Here is a 24,032-nt window from a genome sequence, read left to right on the forward strand (position 1 = left end):
CCTTCCATATTTTTCATCTCTTCATTTCTGTGGATTCTCACAATTTTCCCCACATCATCTACCAATTTACTAAGTCTCTTGTCGGCTATGTCTATTCTATGGTTTTACACATATGTATTTCCATTATTATAGTTGTTTACATTCTTACTTGATTCTTTTTCATGACCAAGTCTTTTTGCCTTCTTTTTATCTCATGTGGTTCCTTACCTAGACAATGCTATTTATCAACCTCCAGTTTTGTGCGTACTGGAATGACTTCCTCCTTGTACCCCTTTCTTCCTAACCTGCCTAACTTCTTAGTACTTCAAGACTCAGCTCAGGTAATATCTCCTCTAGTAAACCTTCCTTGAACCCCAGTCTCACCTCTGCGCTCCCAGATCACCCTACATAAAGCCTGTCACAAAACATTATATTGAAAATTTATTATATATCTATTTCCCCCACAAGACAAAAGCTCCAAAAGAAAGGGATTATGCTTATTTCCTTTTGCTTTATTTACCCAGCATCTGGCTTACAGTCTGGCATATAGTACATACTCCATAAATGTTTGTTGAATAGAACTAAATTATTGAGAATCGCAGAAAAACAAGCTCTTTCTAATGAGCTGTATCCTCTCTTAAAATTTTCTCTGCTTTGGAAAGTTTAACCCGGTGAGAAAAACATGCAAGTCTTAAGCTAAAAAGTTTTTTAGTAGGTTATGTACTTGGAAAATTGGGATCAGTCCAACAGAAATGTTCAATTCTTGCTAAATGCCCACTTGACATTCCCAGGTTAAATACCACTTCTAGTAGAACTTTCCTTGTTTAATTTATAGGTTTTCTCCCACTTACTCTATCATAAAAGATAGCAATAAAAGTCCCACCAAGAAATAAAGAGAGCTATTGAGCAAAGTAATAGAGAAGTGACTAGATGCAATATTTCTTTCCTTAAAAATATGTACAGTGTGATGCCAGTTTGGGACAGAAAGAATAAACAGAAAGCATGCAAATAATCAAAGTCTGTCTAGTAACTATACTTCCCATTAAGCCTTTTCAGATAACACATCAAGATTCCTTCTTTTCATACGTTAGAATAACAGAATACTTCAAGATCCCATAAGACTTTTTCCCCCATAATAGACAAAAATTAGGTTAGCCAGCCAAAATCCCTGAGATATTTTATACCACAAAAATGACCAGTTTTCGCTTTCTTTTATAGCATGTGTATTTGTGTGTTAAGTAGACACAGGGATTAGAAAGGATTTAAAGCATTTTAAGAAGCATGGGTTACTTTTTTTTTCTTTTTTTGTGGACAGAGTTTTGCTCTTGCTGCCCAGCCTGGAATGCAATGGCGCAATCTTGGCTCACTACAACCTTCACCTTTCGGGTTCAAGCAATTCTCCTTCCTCAGCCTCCCAAGTAGCTGGGATTACAGGCATGTGCCACCATGCCCAGCTAATTTTGTATTTTTAGTAGAGATGGGGTTTCTCCATGTTGGTCAGGCTGGTTTTGAACTCCTGACCTCAGGTGATCCGCCTGCCTCGGCCTCCCAAAGTGCTGGGATTATAGGCATGAGCCACCGTGCCTGGCCCATCTTGGGTAGTTTTTGAAATAAAAATAAACTGTAATTTTAAGCTAAAAAAAAAAAAAATGCCTGGCCGGGCACAGTGGCTCATGCCTGTAATCCCAGCAGTTTTGGAGGCCGAGGTGGGCAGATCACCTGAGATCAGGAGTTCGAGACCAGCCCAGCCAACATAGCAAAGCCCCGTCTTTACTGAAAATACAAAAATTAGCCAGGCATGATGACAGGCGCCTGTAATCCCAGCTACTCGGGAGGCTGAGGCACGAGAATTTCTTGAACCTGAGAGGTGGAGGTTGCGGTGAGCTGAGACTGTGACACTACACTCCAACCTGGCGACAAAGCGAGACTCCTTCTCAAAAAAAAATTTTTTTTTATTCTTTTTATTCTCTCTGTTCCACACCTCACTTTGAACATTTGACGCTCAAAGCATTTAAACCATATGAGTTAATTCATGTGTATGTAAACCCTGAGGTGATTTAAAAAATCCCATTTGGCATTTGGAGAAAGTGAACATCAAGGCACTTGCCTCAGATTACTCTGCTGTTGATGGAGTTAGGAAAAGGACTTAGATTTTTTCCTGCTAGATTTCTTTGAAGCCTATGAAAGTCATTGAAATAACTGAAAAATGTACTGAGCGTGAAAACAGGTATGGAAACATTTTTAGTTGTTTTGATCTGCAATGAGTTTTAAGGGAGTTGTGAGTGGGAAATAAGAACCAGAAGGACTGGGTTTTTTTTCTCCAAGTCAGAGACAGAGGGAGTGCTGGAGCATTGAATGACTTGGTGCAGTTTGATACTTTGATTACTATTTCTTCATATCTACGCTAAGAAAGGAAGCTGCTATACTCCACAAATTCCTTAACTGCACTGCAATATTTATAATTTCAAAAACCTGCAATTCCTTTGCTTCAACAAATCTCTTTCTCTCTCAAGCTGAAACTGGCCTTCTACAGAAAAATGGCAGGCATGTTACATGGACCAAGTTCTCATGGGAACCTCCCCATCTGCAACATTCTGGAGTTACTGCCATCTCTACTTCCCCCAAAACATTCATGCTGGCCTCAGTGCCCTCATGGATACAAGCATACACATGCCCACAAGGACTCTCACAGCTTTTGTGGCCAGCACCTGGCTGTTACCTAAGATACTCTTTCAGTTGACAGTTGATCTTTATAGTTGTATATATCAGAACCAACCAGAAAGCCTAAAAGCCAAATTACAGTCTCATGCCCAAACTTCCCCAAACTCTGACTGAGTAGGATTAGAGAGAATCTAGAGCATGCGTATTTTTAAGAAACTCTTCAGATAGATCTGATGTGCAAATCCCAAACTATAGAACAATAGGGGAAACCTTAGCACCTCTTTTTCAAAAGAGTAGAAGATTGAAAGAAGTTCACCACTTAATTAGCTTATCTGATGGTAATTTCTTTTCTAACAGCCCCTGAATATTTATCATAAGGTTTCCTATTTCTTATACTAATGCATTGAGTTTTCCTATTTCTTATACTAATGCTTTGAGTGATGTCTGCTTGATGACTTCAGGCCTGGCTCTATCTGTCATGGAGGTTTTGCATTTCCCAATAAAAGCATTGTAAGTCACAGTGACAGTAGCATAGACTGTTCCTTTATTTAAAAAAAAAAAAAAAAAAAAGGAGGAAGGCTCTAAGTGAGACACAAAAGGAAAGCTTAACTTACAAATCTGTGATAGAAATTGTACTACCAGAACCATATAATAAGATCTGAGATGGCTTCAAAATGTCTTCCCACTTTAAGGCCTATGTGCCTCTTTGGCAACAAAAACAAAAAGTAAGTATTTTTGAAAAGAGAGAATGAAATTTATAATTAAAAGGTAAAAAGTTTCAGTTAATTTGGAAAAGGCAAGTATTGTAATTATTGTGCTACCATGATCACTACCTCAAGAAATGTCTTCTGCACAGTAACCAAGGGCTGGAAACAACCCAAGTGTTTATCCATGGATGAATGAATAAACAATATGTATACATACCATGGAATAGTATTCAGCTTTAAACAGGAAGGAAATGCTGACACATAGTACAACATAAATAAAGTGCTAGATTTGTAATGGAGTTAGAGAAGATGCCTTGCTGGAGAGTAAATTATAATGAGGACATCATGCCAAGTTAAATAAGTCAATCTCAAAATAAATACTGTGTGATTCCACTTATATGAGGTACCTAGAAGAGTCAAATACACAGAACTAGAGACTAGAATTTTAGTTGCCAGAGGCTGGAAGGAGGAAGAAACAGGTAGTTGTTGTCTATGGGTATTGGACAGTTTTGCAAGATGAAAACTTTCTGGAAATTGGTTGCACAACAATGTGCCTATATGTAATACTACCGAACTGTACACTTAGAAACGGTTAAAATTAACATGGTACATTTTATGTTATGCACTTTAAAATCACAATTAAAAAGAAAAAAAAGTCTTCGAGTTGAAAAGTCAAATTCCTTTGTGACTCAGAGTAACTGACATTGTTAGTTTAGATAAGGCACTATAAAACGGAAATTAGAGCAAGTAGAGGTCACTTTCAACTTTGACGCATAAAAACTGAGCAAAATTAAGGAGCATATTATTCATCTGTTTGTTCTTTTAAACAGTCAAAATATATGTATTTGTTGTGCATCTCCTGAGCTTTAGTTTTACAGAAGCTTGGCTGGCCTTGGGTCAGCCTCACTCTTACCTAGAAAAAATCAGAGTCAATCCAGGGTGTACCAAGGATGTATTTCTGGGCACCAAACATTTTCATATCTGAGTGGTCTTGTTTCAGGTCATTGTCGCTCCCACTATTACAAAGGATGATCAGAAAGTTTGAGTTCAAAACATAACTGATTAAATATGACTCACTTGAGTTTTCTGGGTCAGGACCATAGCAGGAAACTCACCATTTATCTACATTGGGAAATCCTCAAACTCCTCTTTATTAACAACTCATATGATTATTCCTAAATTTTACATTCTCAGACTCTGGGAAGTTGTGACACCACAAGTCACTAGTGGGAGATGAGGCAAGTGGTTTTAAGCCAAATCCACAAGTTCCCTCCCTACCTGCTATCCGTGCATATCTCCCAGAAATGAGCATGTGTTGATGGAAACAGGCTTAGAGGGCTACCAGATAGGATATTGAGATCTACTTAAAGATCCTTGCTTGGGAGTTCAGCTTCATGTGCTGTCTTTTCTGTGCTAGATTTGTAATGGAATTAGTTAAGACATCTTGCTGGTGAGTAAATTAACAAGATAGTCCTTGAATCCAACAAAACCAAAGAATAATCTGTATGTGATGATTTGTTTTAGAGCAAGGACATTTGTTTAGGCTTGTTAAAATATGCAATATGAAACTTACTAATATCTCCATAGTAAAAGTTCACATCACCACCACACCTTTCCCTCTCTCTCTGTTTACATGCTATTTACAAGTATCAAGTGCTTCTTTTATTGGGTCATGTCTTGGCAACCTAACCTTGCATACATATAACCCAATTCACTTGCAACATCACACTCTGAAATTAAACTTATGTTCTAAGGACTATTAAAAATAACTATATATAATGGCTGGGCATGGTGGTTCACGCCTGTAACCCCAGCACTTTGGGAGGCCAAGGTGGGCGGATCACGAGGTCAGGAGATTGAGGCCATCCTGGCTAACATGGTGAAACCCCGTCTCTATTAAAAATACAAAAAATTGGCCAGGCGTGGTGGCACGTGCCTGTAGTCCCAGCTACTTGGGAGGCTGAGGCAGGAGAATTGCTTCAACCCGGGAGGCGGAGGTTGCAGTGACCGGAGATCACGACACTGCACTCCAGCCTGGGCGACAGAGCGAGATGCCGACTCAAATTAAAAAAATAAATAAATAACTATATATAAATCTAAATATTCTTGTCTCTCCACCTATGAAACATGGCTTCATAACATGAACAAAAAGCTTCTCTAAATAGGGGAGAAGGATAAAACAAAAAAAGTAACTAAAATCACAGCTGAAATGTTGAGTATGAGAAATTAAACTTGATTTAGAGTGCAAATACTGCTTGAAGTTCAGACCATTTCCCCAGGTGCTCAACTACTTCCACAGAGCAGGACTGACACCTTTAAGTAAAGAAGTTTTCAGCTGTAGCAGACTATTGCTATTTTTTCCATCACCTTTCAAGGTTTGGGGTGTAGGTTGCCCTAGTGGTCAAGGACAGGTGCTTCAGGAAAGCTGAAGGGAGAGGTTAAGCTAATGATTGTCAGACTGTTAGACTCTAAGGTTTTAACTCAGAAAAACAAGGAGTGATTTTGTTTCAGTATTGGAAACATGGTTTTCTTATCATCAAATCGACAAAGACTACAGTGTCATCCATACTAGATCAGATATCTTCAGTACACATTTATAAAATTGTATGAATGTGGACAGAATTGGGAGGGACTATAAAATATGTTTGCAGTGAGACCCCCAAAGTGACCTTGTCTTGTAGCTATCAGGCAAATGAACTTGAAGGTAGTTCAGCTTTGATCACTGGGTTATATCTATCGTTGTCAAGATCACATTTGTAATTTATTTGCAGATCAACTCCTTTCTTTGCTTTGTGCCTATAGTACCCTGAGGAACTTGGTTTCTCTAAATAAAGAACAGGATAGAATTGTAGTGGCATTTGCTGTCCCCTCTGAGCTTTTTTTTATATACCGTGCTCCCTGTGTTACAACAGATAACTGAGAAGAGGAAAATCAAGAACAGAGAGCTTTCAGGGTAGGAATAACAACCAAACTGTTGAACGCTATCTGCGGTTCTAGATAAAAGTAGTTGTTCTCAGCATGTGCAGACCATTTAGCATCAGTTCTGCAGCTCAGCAATGCTACGTGGTTATGAGTACCCCAAGGAAAAAAAATCTCTGCTTCATCAACTTATTCTAACTTCTTACATTGCCCAGTCAGTTTGATATTCTAGGGAATATTACCTTTCAAGTAAAAGAGTCAAAAAGGAAAACCACATCTTGAGCTAGGAGCCAAGTTTGATGCTTTAATTTTTGGTAATTTCTCCATATGCGTTTAAATGCCCTTAGTCAAATTAACTATCACACATTGCTTCTAATGAAGTCAGTGGAAAATTTTACATTTTCTTAGGAAAAAACTTAGCTTGAGATTCTTGCCTCTACAAAACCATTTTTTGTTTGTTTCCAGACACATACTAGATGAAAGCAATGGAAAAATTAGAGAACTGACTCATTTAATTGCAGCTATATAATATTCAACTTACAGATAATACTGTAAAGTCATGTGCTCACATGATTCATTGCCAACAATTACTTTCTCAGAAGTTTTACTTATAAAGAATAAAGATTCTAAAGTATTAATATCAGTAACATTATTAACTAATACCATGCAACTCAGCAATTTTCAAAACATTCACCTACATACTCCTTTGCTTTTAACACGGAAAACATGTTTATATGAGATCACGTCCATTTCACATTAAACGTAGACATTTCTTCTATAAATGTCTAAATTAACTCTGCCACAAGAAAGCTGCAGTTTTTAAAAAAATATTGTATTTTATGGGAAAATAATACATATCACAGAAAACCTCCCACTTGGCTGTTTTCTCTAATTTCTCCTGTACAGTGTGTGAAGCTATTTCATGCTGTTATAAGCATCATTTCTCCTCTTATGATAATTTTCCTTTTCTCTACTTTGGTTTCTTTATCTTTTGTAAGTTGTTTTAAGGCCAGCTCTTGTACTTCACTGAACCTGTATCACATGAAATTTCACTGCCTTCGGGGCAGAGTGGGGTTTGTAAAGGAGAAGAATATTCATTGGGAAAGTTAATTTAATTAGGTTTTCCTTACTACACCAAAAACTCTAAAGGTGAATTAAGTACCTTGGTACTTCAATACCTCAATTTTCCGGTCCTTGAACACATGCCTGTGCTTTCTGATCCCAGATAAGTCACAGATGGCCAATAGCTATTAATTTTCTTCTGGAAGACAGCTTCAGTCAAGTTCAAAGGGAGTGCTGGACACAGAAAAAGCAAAGTATCTGACCGATTATAAAGTTATTGCTCTTCATTATTTTTGTAATCATGTTAGAAGAGCTTAGCAGCACTTTCACTAAGCAGGTATGGGAATTCTTTTCCACCACTTGTAAATTCGATCCTCTCTGGTTTCTGTGCTCTTCTACCCACGTCACTTCTTACAGATGTTTGCCAATGATACTATACCAACAACTGTAGAGGTGGGGCTAAGAAACTGAAATTGCTTCATATGTAGCTTTGGCCCTTTGGGCACTTTCTGTCCCCAAGGGGAATTGGACTGGAAAACAGCTTCCTGCCAGGCACTGCGAGGTGTGACAGTGCACTTCTCTGTCTGTTCTCAGGGTGTGATTTGAGATTGTAAGACCAAGGAGATCTTGCTTTACCAGATCTCCTCCTTGGTCTACATTTTCTTTTCACATGACCTGCTTGAGCTCTCAGTTTTTTCTTTGCTATGCTCAGCTGGTAATATGAAAAATTATTTATTGTATGATAGCTTCTTTCTTTCTCAAAAATCTTGATTATCAACTTCATTGATGTTTACTGGGTAAAAAGATTTGGCAGCATTACCCAAAGAAAAGAACCTGCAAGTAGAACCTCCTTAATCTCAGAAATGGGTTGGAATATGGCATATAGCATAATGCTCTGTGAAAACAGGTTTGCTAGTAGACATTGATCCAGCTTTTCTTTTTCTTTTTTTTTTTTTTTTCAAGTTGGCGAGATCTTAGTTGCCTAGACCGTTCTATCAACTTCCTGGACGTTTCTCCCTGTCTATGTATACTACATAAAGGGGCCAGAGCCCAGTCTTCCCTGGCTCTCTGTAAAGGGGGTTTAAGTGAAGGCTGCCTGCCAAAAAGTCCCGCTACTTCTGATACTGGAACCTTACACTTAAAAAATCTTAGGTCCCACTGCAGATTCCCATGACGTAGCCATCCCATTGCTCTTCAGTTCTTATGGCCAAGGAGCAGCATAATATGGGGTCAGAGAAGGGGGCAATAAGACAAGGAATCAGAAAATCTGGCTCTGAGTTTTGCTTCTTGGAGCTTTATATTAATGAATTTGGTAAATTATTTCATTTTCTCTGTTTCTACTTCTCCATCTTCAAAACGCTGGACAGTTTGTCCTCTAAGAGGGCATCCAATTCTGTGTCATCCAAGATTTGATGATTCCATCTGACTCTAATTCATACTCAGTGGTGAAGTCCATGTCTATAAGACTTCATGGTCAGAGGTTAGACACTGCTTTCCCTTGCTTTAAAATAGATTTATAGAATCTGAAATGCCTTGGCCAGGTGTGATGGCTAATGCCTGTAATCCCTGCAATTGGGGAGGCCAAGGCAGGCAGATCACTTGAGGTCAGAAGTTCGAAACCAGTCTGGTCAACATGACGAAACCCAGTCTCTACCAAAAAATACAAAAATTTGCTGGGCGTGGCGGTGGGCGCCCATAGTCACAGAGTGAGACTCTGTCAAAAAAAAAAAGAGAGAATCTGAAATGCCATCTTATCAAAACTCCCCACAATGTAGGACACTGGGTAAGACACTGAGGCATGCACAGCATAGTGATAGAAGGCAAAATCTGGAGATAGACCGCAGAGATTTAAATTGTGACTCACCATGTCACTTTGGGCAAGATACTTAAAACTTTTCTGTGTCTCAGTATTTGCACCTAAAAATAGGATTTATAATACTTCTCTTTCATTGGCTTGCTACAAAAATGAAATGAGGCCGGGCACGCTGGCTCATGCCTGTAATCGCAGCACTTTGGGAGGCCGAGGCAGGTGGATCATCTGAGGTCAGGAGTTCGAGAGCAGCCTGGCCAACATGGTGAAACCCCATCTCTACTAAAAATACAAAAAATTAGCTGTGCCTGGTGGCACGTGCCTGTAGTCCCAGCTACTTGGGAGGTTGAGGCAGGAGAATCACTTGAACCCGGGAGGTGGAGGTTGCAGCGAGCTGAGATTACACCACTGCGTTCCACCCTGGGCAATAAGAGCAAAACTCCATCTCAAAAAAATAAAATAAAATAAAATAAGCTAGTACATATAAAGTTCTCAGAATGATGCCTGGCATATTGTAGGTGGCCAATAACTGTTAGCACCTCTCTGGAACACTCCCAGCAATGGCCTGTCTACCACATGCAGGGGAGGGAACAGTGCCATATTTTAGGGCAAAACATTCCAATTTTTGGACAACTCTACTATTAGAAAGTTCTATCTTATCACTGGAATTCATCCCAAGTGTAAGGTTATCCCTTTATCTTGTATTAATTTGAAGTTTCTCTTAAATAAACACTTATACAGGCATCCTGGAAAGCAGAACATCTATTGTCAAATGCCACTTCTGTATCTAATAACTATTTATTTATCCTACAGAGGGAAAAAACTGAGACTTTCCTCCAACTATAGGCAAACTCTTCCCTTATAGTGAGTCAGGTTGTTTGTTGAATTACTGGGATTTCATTTTCTTTTTATTATAAATCCCAAACCTTGGGTTTCAGGAGTAACTAAAATATATTTCTATAGCATTTTGCAACATAAAATAAGATGAGTTGGGACTCAGATGGGAGGGCTACTGCAAAGAACTGAAAGGTGTTAGCTTTGATTTCCAAGATCTGACTCTCTTGGCTATCAAGCACCTACCAGTGGTCATGTGGGGTCAGGCTCTGGGTCAAGGTTAGGGTGATTCCTAAGGGTTTGTGTATCAACTAGCTCCCCAAAACTTTATCAAATTAAATAAGAAAAAGCTACGTCTTGCACTTGTGATTGTTTTTCATTCGAGGCATTTGTAAGAAAGGTTCTTCTGATCCATTCTTTGTCACTTTAGATGACTCAACAGAATGGTCACAATAACAAGAATCAATTCTGGATACTCCAAGGAAAGATACTAAAGGGAAAGAACAATACCTGGCTCAGAGTGCCCTTAGCTGGGTTCATCAAATCTTTCCTTTATTTCCTAGGGTCTCTAAAGATATCTTGGCAACTCATGCAATAAATGCCATCACACTTCACCAGCACACTTCAATGCTAAATTTTTGTAACCAAGCTGTCACATTGCCTTTCTAGGTTACCTTTAAGTAACTTAAAACAAAAACAAAAACAAAAAAACTAATGGTGCTATTGCTTAGTGCAGACTGAAGTTGTCATTGGAAAGAAAAATCAACATCTGGAAATAAAAAGACCTTGGTTCAAGTCCATTTAGCTGTCTACTCACTATACAACAAGGATTAGGTCCAGCTGAACTCTGGCAGCTCAACTTTCTTGTCTACATAGAGAGATACTAACACGGATGACAGGTTTCATCAATGGGCAGTGGCTGCTGAAAGTGCGACTAAACGATTGTGAATCCAGGGGTGCAACACAGGGTTAAAAAATCCCCAAATCAAAGGCCTGCCATGAACTGAAAAAGAACATACATGACACATATTTGACATCCCTAGACTTTATAATATTCTCCTGAGGGTATATAAATACGAAACATGTAAAATTGACTTTTAAAGACAAGTTGTATCCAAATTCTATCACTATTTATAAGTTTCATTACTATTATTGATTGGCTATTAGAAGAGAAATGCAAGGAAGAACCTATGTATACCTTCTGTATTCAAACCAAATTCTCTTTTATGTCTTCAATAGCGAGCATTTTGCTAGTGGGCCACTGAAGACAAAACCCCTTTGTTATACAGGCTCTCTAAGTGAAGGAGGCTGGGATGGACAGAGTAAATTTCAGACAAAGTGGGAGGAAGCTCTGCCCTGGCAGGCCCAAGAGAGAGCTGCCGTGAGGAGCAAGAGGCAGTGCCTTGGAGTGCTCCTCACATCATTACACGCAGGCAGCCACTGACTTTGCCTAGGCACCGGGCCAGCTCTGGCAGGAGATTGAATCAAGGCTATTTGCATGTCTGTTTTCAGAACATTAAGTTTTGTCTACCCATCCAAAGTGAGGAGATCAATGTAATCATGCAGAAAACTTAATTTCTAAAAAAAGAAGAAGAAATGAAACATCTTGCTTTCAATTAAGTATGAATTTTATTTTCTGTAAAGTATGATAACTCCCATTTTATTTTCTGTAACGTTTCAATTCTTCACTAAAACACTAAAGTATACTTAGAGAAAGTGCTTAGAAAAGATACTTTAGTGTTTTAGTGAAGAGTTGAAAATTTCTCTTATGTGTTTTAAGAGTAATGACAAAACCAGAAAGACATAACTACTACACGGCATAGTGTCGGGTAATGTCATTTCTATGTTATGTCCTTGGATCCCCACAGTAGTCCTATGACATGAATCTAAGGCTTAGAAATGTCATGTGCCAGGCAATTGGGTAATTGCCACGGTTTAAAGTATGTGGAAATACCCAGAAATTTTAAACAGTGCTGGCAACTTTGTGTTGACGCTCTTCTATGAATAGCTCCCTGGTTATTTCTAATTCTCATTAACTTGGAATAATGCAAGCCATTCAGCAATATGATACGAATAGATATTTCCTTTTCAAAACATTGCACAAATACATGATTTCCTCCCTCTTTCCACCCGGTAGGAGAAGTAGGAAAAGAGCACGGTAATAGGAATTTACCTCCAAGCTATAAAGCCTTCCTATCCTTTCAGTAATCACCAAAGAGAGTTCCTAGTTACTAAGGAGACCATAATAGACTGCATTAGATTCAAGTATGACATTTGGGTTGCCTGGCTAGTGAACGCCAAACAGCAAGGAAAATATTATTGTTGCTGAAATCATTTGATGTCTATGACTAATAAAAAACATGTTGGCAAATTGAATTGTTTGAAATGCCCAAAGGGCTTGGTTAAAGCTATGAATTAATAGCAAAGAGCAGTTCTTTCTGGAGAAAAGAAAAAAAAAGATGAAGATGTTGAACTATTTTTAAATGTATCTGAGTAATCAAAAGGTCTCAACAGAAATGTTAGACAGCCAATCTAAGTCTTTTATCCAATTTTTAATTTAAATTTCATTTTCTCCTCCCTTATAGCTAAATAATAAAGTGATATTTTGGTTCACATTATCCTTGAATTCTAAGGGACGCACAGGCTTTGTTAACCTTCTTATCTAGCTTCTCACAAATACCAGAATTATCTTTAAAGTATACCAACTGTACCAACCCTGGAGGCTTTGAGGGCTGAGATGTCCATTTACTCATGTGCTGTGCCCCTCGGGGAGCTGGAGAAAGCCAGAAGTGGAAAGAGTTGAGGGAAGCCCAACTTCCAGTGACCTCTCAACCCAAGTCCCACAGGTCACCAAGGGCCTGCCTGAAGATGTCCATCCAGTCCCTGCTTGATCTTTCCCAGAGCAGGAGGTCTTTGCCAGGATGCATCCTATCCTGTTCTGGATGCAGCTCTGATTGTGTGGAGGGCTCTTTCTCATGTTGTGCCAACATCTGCCTCCTCATGGTTTCTACCCATTGTTCTTCATGTTATCTTGAGAACAACATTGTTTGACTCAGCTTCCTCTCCTTTTGAATAGTCCCTTAGGTAACTAAAGTCAACTGCATGACTGCCCTGTATGCTGTAATGTCTTCTCCAAACTAAATAGTCTCAATTTCTTTCTCAGATTATAAGGTAAATATACAAATATATAATAGTAAGAAGAGACAGAACATATAATCACCATAAAAGACAGACAGCAAAGTGGTCTGGTAATTGAATATTTTTTTAAAAAGAGTTAAAATTTGTACCTAGAAAGGTGAAATTCTTAACTGATATTGAGAACCCCTGTGTCTGTCCACTGAGTTCCTGCATTCTATCCATCAAATTATTCCATCAAAATGAAAATGTAGCTTGGTAAGACTTTTTCTTAGTGACAGACACCATGCCAGCTCCTAGTGACTGTTCATTAATTCTCACCTCACTGCATTTATTTTTTCTTGTGTTTATTTACTGTCAATGCATACTTTGAGAAAAGTTTCTGGAAAAATACATATCTGCATATGAATAGTTGTGACATGATTTGAGAATTTGAATACCATTTATTAAGAATTAAGGGAGGGGCAATGTAAGGAAGATAAATCTTCAGTTCTTTCTCCCCCTAATATCTTATAATGAAAAATTGCAAACATACAAAAAAGTTGAAATAATTATATAGTAAACACCCATATAACTCAAAAACTAGATTCTATAGTGAATATTTTACTATCTTCGGTTTAACACGTATCTATTGTTTCTCTATCAAACTGTCTTATTTATGCATTTCAGTGCAACTTGCTCTCATCAGCACACCTAGTCCTTAACATTTCAGCACACATATTATTGTTAGTTCTTTTTGGACACTTTCTAGCACTCCCTTCACAATCTCTCTTGCCTCATTTTCCCTCATTCTCTCCACTTTCTCAATTTTCATTTCTGTGCCCTTCCTCCTACTCTATATCTCCAAAGTTCTAAATTGTAAAAAGAAAGTGTAGAAATTTGAGCATGGAACAGTATTGAAGTGGAAAAGGTCAATGGTTACCATCCAGGACCTCACAAGGTGCTGTCACCACAGGCCTGGGATAGATGAGATCCTCATGAACAAGTTGATCCAAACCAACTCACCAGAGACAGAGGTATATATTAAAATGCCAACTTAATAATTGAAAAACACAGCTGTCCAGCTGTCAAATACCCAGACATATTTCTTGGTCAGCTTGGTCTCTCCTGAATTAATCTACATGACAGGCCAAATTATGAAGGCTTTCAGTGAATGGAGGCTCAGAAGAAGGGAATTCATTAGAAGGTCTTCATGACTTGGAGGCAGAGACTATCAGCCTTCATGTTTCAACAGCTGGCCAGCATCGTGTCTGACACCCAGAGGATGCATTCTAATAATTAGTGCCACCTCTTTACAAGTACTGCCATGAAAACCAGGCCTCTGTGTTGTGGCTCACGGTACCTCTCACCTGGATTGTGCTGGCTGAACCCTGCCTAATTCTACCCTCTAACTCCCCTTAAAGAAGTTCCATGACTACCATTCTCCTTCGAGTAACACATTTCTTTTAGCCATGTTCATGCCATTAACTAAGCTTTAGTGAAGTGCTGATCTTCCTGTTTGGGGTCTAGAAGATAACCTGATCTGGGTGACCTCCCAAAGGTTTAGATCTCATAAATCATCCAGATGATGTATGTAGTTGTACTGGCAACAAAGCAAAAAGTGAAATGAGGGGTCTTTGAAATGAGAGGCCTGTTTCTATTTAAGACCATTTTTGATAAATTGATTTTACTGGTGTTACTCTCAAAGAGGAGAGTGGTTCCCTACTGCCTGAGTATAGTGCCTTCAGAGGCCAGGGAAGAATATGATCTTACCTAGTGAGCAAAAACCATCCCTTCCCTATCTCAAGATTTATGTCTGATAAGAAATGTTAGTAGATTATTTTCCCGGCTTCCTAATTACCAGCCCACAAAGACTTGGCAAGGTGAGCTCTTCAGTGGAAAGGTAGCTATACAAAAGCAACACGAAAGCGCAAATGCAACACCTTTCACAACAGACAGCTTCTCCAAAGTTGCAGATAAATCCAATTTTAATGAATCAAATCTACTCTGAAACCCTAAAAGGAACTTTCGAGTCATGAAGTCTCGAGGTGAATCCTTTGATTATGTAACAAGTTCCTAATGCAGTTCTCCCAAAGATTTCGATCTCATAAATCAAATTATTTTAGAGTAAGGCATTCCTGTTCATTACTGCTTAAAAACCATTCTTATGCTTGACGCTTTCTTACCCTTGACACTTTCCCTGTATGGATCCCATACTAAATATCAGAAAACACCAGCGTTTGGTGGTCGTATCACACTTTAGAGTGTATTTGAAAGCAAACCATTATGGTGTTGAGGGGGAAATGACTTAGAATCAAGGCTCTATTTCATATGAGTCTACTTACAGATGGGAAAAAAAATCTGATACTAGTAGGCATTAGTACCTCGGTGGCAAATGCCAACTGGCAAGTAGAGTTCTTCTAACTGCCTCTATTATAAGCAACAGGGTTCTGACCCAGGTAAAAACTCTTCAACAGTGTAAAAGATACTATGATGAAGAGAGTGGGCTTTTTTTTGTTGAGGGTTCAAACACTCTGACAGGAGCACATACACTGTTTCACAAACCTCAAACAGGACTCAATCTAGATAAACAGGGAGTGTTTCATCTAAGCAGGCTTCAAAGGCAGTGTTTGTTCAGACATCATTCATTCCTTTTATTTCTTTGATGCGTCTGTCCCTAGTGATGGAAACTCTTATTTTTTTTTTTTTTAAGAAACTAAAGCATGAAAAGAAAGTGAAAAAACTACAGACTGATTTGGCAACAGCTAATGCCATCACAGTTCTGGAACTCAATGAGAAGATAAAGACTCTATATGAAGGAAAGCCAGCCCCTAGAGGTCAGTATTACCACGTGACAGATCCACACTGGCCCGTCAGCTGGGTGATGTATGTAGTTGTATTGGCAACGAAGCAAAAAAAACGAGGCTACAGGCCTGGTCTGACCTCTGTGTGGCACCAGTAGAGACAGCACATGAACTACTAACTCCAGGCTGGATTCACTTTCACCTTGAGAGGGGCAGGGAATGAATAAGCGGTTTGCTCGTTAAGGGAAAGTCTGTGAGGCTGAAGAGCTAGACTGAAATAGATCTGAGAAGTGTCACTGCACAAGCTGGGTGGTAGCAGGGGGAGGGCAGGGCGTAAGAAGGAAGGCAGGTGCCTGCAGGGACTGAGCTCTGGAGTGAGACAGAGCTGTCTGAAAGCACAGGCTGACAGACTAGGGCACAGGGAAGAGAACAGAATTTTTTTTTTTTTTTTTTTTTTACCAATAGGCAAATGAACCAGAAACAAGCAGAGAAGGCTGGCTGGAGATGAAATGTGGGTAGTTCAGAAAATTGTTAATAGCCACATTGGTTCTGACTTTTTAAAAAAAGACTTCTCCAGCTAACAAATTATAAACACACCATTAGGCAACAAACAAGCAAACAACAAACAAAAAAACTCCAAATCTCAGACTGTAATTTTAGCAAGAATACTAGTTAACAATTAATACAGTGCTATGGGCCAGGTATTTTGCTAAGCATTCCATGTCTATTTAATTCTAAGAATAACCTCTAAGGTAAGTACATTTAAGAATTCCCTAAGAATAAGCAGAGGCTTAGAGATGTGTGTTACCTTGCCACTGCACAAGCAACACTTGGAGAGTCACCCTCTAGAGCAGCCGCTGACCATACCCTAGTGTGCCTTTCCCAGCTTTGGGAGACTCAGGGCATTCCCTCTGCTATGTCACAGTAATATCAAACTTCACTCCTGCCTGGTGAATCTCTTGCAAAGCTGTGGTTCCTGGGAAAAATGTCTTCCTTTGATGTGTGCCACTCTTGCAAAGCCAGGAACATGCCATCGTTCTTACTCTGGCTTTCTTTATTACTCATGAGTAATTGTGGAAAAAGAGGAGCAATGCAGAATCAAATGGAGGAGGAGGAAGCAGGCGATGTGGTAGTTTCAGAAAGGGAGACACTCCCAGCACCTGACTACATGGTAAAGCTTTTCATGTGAATTTGATATTCATTTTCAATTTCGTATAGTGCTTTCCCAGGATTCAAATGCCATGTAACATTGTGAACTTGAAACAGTTTTTTCTTTCAATGAAACAACATAAAGGCAGTTTGTAAATTTGCTTTTACCACCATGAAACCTAAAAGAATAAAATCCGTCACAGAATATTATCCATTTAAAAGTCCTTATTCTGAGGCATTAGCCAGATTTTCCACTGGTTTCATTAGAAGAAACTGACAATGATTGTAGAGCACATTGGAGAAAGTTCCCCAGCTCGCTTACGAGAAGCTTTCAACTTTTCAATTGCGTTTTAAACCCGGTGCAAAAATATATATATATAATCGCAAGGTCTCTAATTCTTATTAGTTTCATTTTTTTCAATATTATTTACTGTATAATGACAATTTTGTTTCTTGGATATTTTGATAGGGCAAAATTTAAATAATACTGAGGGACTAGAACTCTAATGGCTTGGGATAGGGAAGAAAACATTAAATCTTACCCTTTTTTTGCCCATTATTCTCTTTATTTTTGTGGATTTTTTTTTTAAACTACCTGTATAGAAAAACATGGGTATTTATGAACAGATGCAAATTTAAAATTTAAATAAAGCCAGTCATTGTAAGATCCATTATGGATCAAAACAGTGATTTTCTTTTGGAGCTACATGTTGCTTCTCTTATTTGGTGGGGAAACTAAGTCAGTCGACTGACATCTAGCACTAAGATCCTAAATCAAATATTTGCACATTCTTGCTCTTCCACAGGCCCCTTGCAGCCTCACCCACATTCAATAGTCCGGGAGGTTGTCAAGGCCATTGTTGTCCCAGAATAATATTAACTGGCATTCTCAGAAATCTGGTCACCTTGGCCTCTGAATTCACTTCAGAATAAAGTGTGAAAAGATGTCCAGTAACTTTAATACACAATGACCCCTATTTAATCACAGGACAATGAGGGCTGGCCCACCCCCCCACACACATATTTCTGGACCTAGAACACCACCACTCCCCTGATTATCTTGTAAAATGTTTGTTTTGGGTTCTCAGACCTCTGTTTGCAAATGAAAGATGCTCCAGTCATAACAGCTTAAGGAGAAAGGGTGATTTACCGGCACATGTAAACAAACCAAGAGAGAGCATTGCACTAGCCTTGGAGTAAGATGGATTCCAGTCTAAAGTACCATCAGGAAACACTGTGTCACTCATCTCTGCTTCTCTCTAAAGATGGATTCCAGTCTAAAGTACCATCAGGAAACGGTGTCACTCACCTCTGCTTCTCTCTGCATTGAGACTTGATTCTCTCAGGCTAGACTTCAGAAGAGAATGGAAATATGGCCACAAGCAGCTATGGGCTGCCCTCCTTATCATATAATCTCCAGGGAAGAAAGAAAGCATTTTTCCACTAACTCTAGTTGGAAAGTGCAAGAAAGAACTCAGTCCTAGCTTAGGTTGGGTACCCATCTGTGGATATGAACCAATCTTTGTGGCCAGGGCTGAGGAAATAAGGTTGAACAAACTGTGGTCATGTCCCCACCACTGGGTGGCAGGGTAGAGGGAGTAAATGTGGGGAAGGAGAATGCTCCAGCTGGCAGCTCCTACGAAAAGCACAGAGCTGGATTAGGAGAAATCCACTTTCTTAAAGGAATATCTCATTACTGGAAAGGAGTGATAGGCAAAACCAATATCTCCTAGCCAGGCATGGTGATGCATCCCTGTAATCCCAGCTACTTGGGAGGCTGAGGCATGAGAATTGCTTGAACCTGGGAGGCAGAGGTTGCAGTGAGCTGAGATCGTGCCACTGCACTCCAGTCTTGGTGAAAGAGCAAGACTCTGTCTCAAAAAATAAAATGAAATTGCCTTGGCGATGCGGGCTCTTTTTTGGTTCCATATGAACTTTAAAGTAGTTTTTTCCAATTCTGTGAAGAAAGTCATTGGTAGCTTGATGGGGATGGCATTGAATCTGTAAATTACCTTGGGCAGTATGGCCATTTTCATGATATTGATTCTTCCTACCCATGAGCATGGAATGTTCTTCCATTTGTTTGTATCCTCTTTTATTTCCTTGAGCAGTGGTTTGTAGTTCTCCTTGAAGAGGTCCTTCACATCCCTTGTAAGTAGGATTCCTAGGTATTTTATTCTCTTTGAAGCAATTGTGAATGGGAGTTCACTCATGATTTGGCTCTCTGTTTGTCTGTTGTTGGTGTATAAGAATGCTTGTGATTTTTGTACATTGATTTTGTATCCTGAGACTTTGCTGAAGTTGCTTATCAGCTTAAGGAGATTTTGGGCTGAGACAATGGGGTTTTCTAGAGCAATCCTAAGCCAAAAGAACAAAGCTGGAGGCATCACACTACCTGACTTCAAACTATACTACAAGGCTACAGTAACCAAAACAGCATGGTACTGGTACCAAAACAGAGATATAGATCAATGGAACAGAACAGAGCCCTCAGAAGTAACACCGCATATCTACAACTATCTGATCTTTGACAAACCTGAGAAAAACAAGCAATGGGGAAAGGATTCCCTATTTAATAAATGGTGCTGGGAAAACTGGCTAGCCATATGTAGAAAGCTGAAACTGGATCCCTTCCTTACACCTTATACAAAAATCAATTCAAGATGGATTAAAGACTTAAACATTAGACCTAAAACCATAAAAACCCTAGAAGAAAACCTAGGCATTACCATTCAGGACATAGGCACGGGCAAGGACTTCATGTCTAAAACACCAAAAGCAATGGCAACAAAAGACAAAATTGACAAATGGGATCTAATTAAACTAAAGAGCTTCTGCACAGCAAAAGAAACTACCATCAGAGTGAACAGGCAACCTACAAAATGGGAGAAAATTTTCGCAACCTACTCATCTGACAAAGGGCTAATATCCAGAATCTACAATGAACTCAAACAAATTTACAAGAAAAAAACAAACAACCCCATCAAAAAGTGGGCGAAGGACATGAACAGACACTTCTCAAAAGAAGACATTTATGCAGCCAAAAAACACATGAAAAAATGCTCATCATCACTGGCCATCAGAGAAATGCAAATCAAAACCACAATGAGATACCATCTCACACCAGTTAGAATGGCTATCATTAAAAAGTCAGGAAACAACAGGTGCTGGAGAGGATGTGGAGAAATAGGAACACATTTACACTGTTGGTGGGACTGTAAACTAGTTCAACCATTGTGGAAGTCAGTGTGGCGATTCCTCAGGGATCTAGAACTGGAAATACCATCCCATTACTGGGTATATACCCAGCCATCCCATTACTGGGTATATACCCAAAGGACTATAAATCATGCTGCTATAAAGACACATGCACACGTATGTTTATTGCGGCATTATTCACAATAGCAAAGACTTGGAACCAACCCAAATGTTCAACAATGATAGACTGGATTAAGAAAATGTGGCACATATACACCATGGAATACTATGCAGCCATAAAAAGTGATGAGTTCATGTCCTTTGTAGGGACATGGATGAAATTGGAAACCATCATTCTCAGTAAACTATCCCAAGAACAAAAAACCAAACACTGCATATTCTCACTCATAGGTGGGAATTGAACAATGAGATCACATGGACACAGGAAGGGGAATATCACACTCTGGGGACTGTGGTGGGGTGGGGGGAGGGGGGAGGGATAGCACTGGGAGATATACCTAATGCTAGATGACGAGTTAGTGGGTGCAGCGCACCAGCATGGCACATGTATACATATGTAACTAACCTGCACAATGTGCACATGTACCCTAAAACTTAAAGTATAATAAAATAAATAAATAAATAAAATGAAAATAAATTAAAAAAAAAACAAAACATCTCCAATACACCTTCAGCTGGTGGTCAAGTTAAAATATAGTATAGGCCAGGCACGGTGGCTCACACCTGTAATCCCAGCACTTTGGGAGGCAGAGGTGGATGGATCGCCTGAGATCAGGAGTTCGAGACCAGCCTGGCTAAAATGGGGAAACCCTATCTCTACCAAAAATACAAAAACTAGCTGGATATGGTGGTGGGCACCTGTAATCCCAGCTACTCCAGAGGCTGAGGCAGGAGAATCACTTGAACCTAGGAGGCAGAGGTTGCAGTGAGCCGAGATTGCACCACTGCACTCCAGCCTGGGTGACAGAGTGAGATTCGAGCTCAAAAAATAAAATAAAATATAGATACATACATACAGTGTAATACTTAATGAGCAACCCATACCATGGGTATTTGTACTTTAAAAGTCGATTCTTCTCAATGAACAAAAGACCTTCATGATCTAAGAAATAAATCTCCAGTGGTATAATTTCAGACCCCATAATAAATATTTCAGACCCCATGATAAATAGAGAGTGAACCACTTTGGAAAAGGAGTCCCCTTCTAGCCTTCAGTAAGTGATACATGGTCACCTACTCTGAAGGCTTGCTTTGTTGTAACAATTATATGGCAAGAAGGGGAAAAAAGTGTTGATTCTAAGTGACATTTGTTACCTAGATTAATATTCAGCTATTTCTCTGTTATAGTTACAAACTGATGCTTACAGTTCTAACAAGCAGATTAATGAAATGTTTCCAAATAAATTAGAACTCCTTTTTACCTCTGTGTGATTTTTCCTTGCTTGGTTCATTTTCTAAGCAGTCTATAGGTCATTCAGGTCTGTCATTCAGGTCTTCTGATCAGAGGGATCAGAGGGATGTTCCAAAATATTAGGAATATTTTTAGGCATATTCATATTCAAATTAATGAAACAGTGTGCTACCAAACTTCTTTCTTTTTAAAAACATAAACACAGTAAACTATTTCATTGGCAGTGTGCTTAAATTACCTCCAAGGAAATAAACGATTTAAGTCGATGGAAAGTTCAGCTGAAAAGAAAAGCCCCTTTATTACAAAACTGGCACAGCAGGAAACTTACTTACAGCCTGAGTGTTGTTTGTTGATTTTACTTTGTTCAAATAATCACAACCCAAGGCGGATTCCTTCCATCATTTCCACACCTGAAATGCTTACAGCTCTATTTAGCAGAACTCAGTAAAACACCTATTGTATCCCTTCAAAGCTTGAGTCCACCTTTTGGTACACTTCAGTATGCAGGAACCTAAGGTTAAATTTTAAAACAATCCTTGTGACCGGTTGTGGTGGCTCACACCTGTAATCCCAGCACTTTGGGAGGCCAAGGTGTCTAGCCTACACATGCATGTCCCCATTATCCCAATGAAAGTCCTGGCAACTCTAAAGTTACCTCTTTGTTTTACTCCCATTAAGGAGGTACTCCTCAGGTAGTGCTGGTACATTCCAGGGTAGACTTATCCAAGACTCAATGTCTGAATCGAGCCAGCTACACTTTTGAGGGGAAGCCTGTAATGGGATTGACATTTTAGTGATTTTTCAGTGACACATAACTTTTTAAACACTACACAACTTATCCCATTTATTTTAAGTATCAAACTATTGCTATCCTACATTCTTGAGAAAGTCCGGAAATATATTTCTTTGCCGACACCCCAGAGCCAATTCTCATTAATATTTTAAAGTGTATCTTTTATCATGATGCCCACCCCTAGGCACTCAGCTCAAACCTCTCTCTTGCAATATTCTTTTTACCTCTCCACCTGTGAAATTCCTCAGGATCAAAGTTCCTATGGCAACTAGGTGTTAGGAAAAGAGGGATTTGGAGGTGATAAAAATGTTCTGGAATTAGATATAGCAATAGTTGCACGGTATTTTTAATATAGTAAAGCCATTGAACTGTACACTTTAAAACGGTTAACGTGGTGAAATTTATGTTATGTGAACTTTATCTCCATTAGAAAATAAAAAAACAGTGATTAAAGCAATCCTCACTAACACTGACTAACAACCCTGTCAAGTGTAAGTGTATTTTAAAGAAAGTGCGTTGGGCCTAAATAAAATCTTGAGTTGGCAGCATTCCAAGCATTTAGAGAGAGGTCATGTTAATATTTATTGGAATAAGACTAGGCGTGAATAGTTGTCCACTTGGGTGTAGGTCTGTTGAACAATGTCACCTTTTCCTCTTCTAATTTCTCCCAGCCTAGCTCTTTCAAAGCTGTTATTCCCCAGACTAGCAACCAATTATTTGACCAAGAGTTCTACAGGTAACCTTCTTTCACCACTGAAAACAGATATTTGTTTTACCAGTCTACCTAGGGTTTTCTAAGAAAGTAACTAGTCTGGTCTTGGAATTTCACTGTTTGAGATGCTGGGACTTCGTCAAAAACCACTGCTCACCATCATCAGACTTTATGGAGCTCAGGTTGATATGTAGTCAAAAGCACAGTGTTTTTGCACTCTGCTCCCTACTCTCTACTATGTCCAAGGGTGCTATTGCCTTGACAGAAAATGACAAGAACTTATGAAAACAAAAGGCAGAGATGTCTCCCCCACAGGAATCATTATCCCACCATTTGCAGGAAGGAATTTACTTTTACAGCACTACCACTGAACTTTCAGATACAGAAGCTATACCAAGATGGGATATTTTACATTTAGACCAATACACACCAGCAATTAACAGTGGGAAAAAATAAGAGAGCATAGGAGTGATCAGTTAAAGGTGTACTTTCTAAATATGATAAATTCCTAAGGAGTTTTGATATTTGCCTTACAGAAATAGCTCATATTTAACTAAAAAGTTAAATGTTAAAAAATCTATAGGTCTCATTCAGAGATTGCCTGTTAGTTATCTCTTCCTTTGTCCACTGAAAGTATTTTCCTGAAATAGAGCCACTATATCCCTAAACCAAAATCTTCTTCCTGATTTCAGAACTTCCCGCAAGGATAAGCATCTGTTTCAGGAGTCCCTGCAGAGCTTAGAGATTTATTGCACAGAAGATCTCAGGAAATGTTACTTCTTCCAGCTGGAGGCTGTGGCCTAATTCAATATGTACAAATTTAGTGTGATTGTGATTTTCAAAATGTCATTTTAGAGA

General features: G+C 39.0%; 1 protein-coding gene across 11 annotated transcripts in view, besides 2 other annotated features; it reads left to right on the plus strand.

The window, feature by feature from the left end:
* CCDC192 (coiled-coil domain containing 192) overlaps nt 1-24,032 on the plus strand; it is a 239,292-nt gene that overhangs the window by 157,523 nt on the left and 57,737 nt on the right. For 7 of the 11 annotated variants that reach the window (XR_948757.4, XM_017009806.3, XM_017009807.2 and 4 more), the window contains one exon: nt 15,800-15,923. The exons of 1 other annotated variant lie outside the window; for it this stretch is intronic. Coding sequence is in view for 9 of the 10 variants with exons in the window: in XM_017009806.3 (XP_016865295.1) it covers nt 15,800-15,923 (124 nt within the window). In the remaining variant the exon portion in view is untranslated. Of the gene's footprint in view, nt 1-15,799; nt 15,924-16,355; nt 16,681-18,127; nt 20,896-24,032 lie in introns of those variants that run through there. 3 more of the 11 variants (XM_017009809.3, XM_017009811.3, XM_047417685.1) reach the window with 3 other exon arrangements.
* Nucleotides 16,159-16,208: an enhancer, noted in NCBI's record as "active region_23035". NCBI's record gives its function as "activates an Ori minimal core promoter by ATAC-STARR-seq in GM12878 lymphoblastoid cells {active_cell/tissue: GM12878}" and the evidence as "EXISTENCE:reporter gene assay evidence [ECO:0000049][PMID:35858748]".
* Nucleotides 16,219-16,298: an enhancer, noted in NCBI's record as "active region_23036". NCBI's record gives its function as "activates an Ori minimal core promoter by ATAC-STARR-seq in GM12878 lymphoblastoid cells {active_cell/tissue: GM12878}" and the evidence as "EXISTENCE:reporter gene assay evidence [ECO:0000049][PMID:35858748]".

The sequence above is a fragment of the Homo sapiens genome, chromosome 5, assembly GCF_000001405.40.
Source record: "Homo sapiens chromosome 5, GRCh38.p14 Primary Assembly".
NCBI lineage: Eukaryota > Metazoa > Chordata > Mammalia > Primates > Hominidae > Homo > Homo sapiens.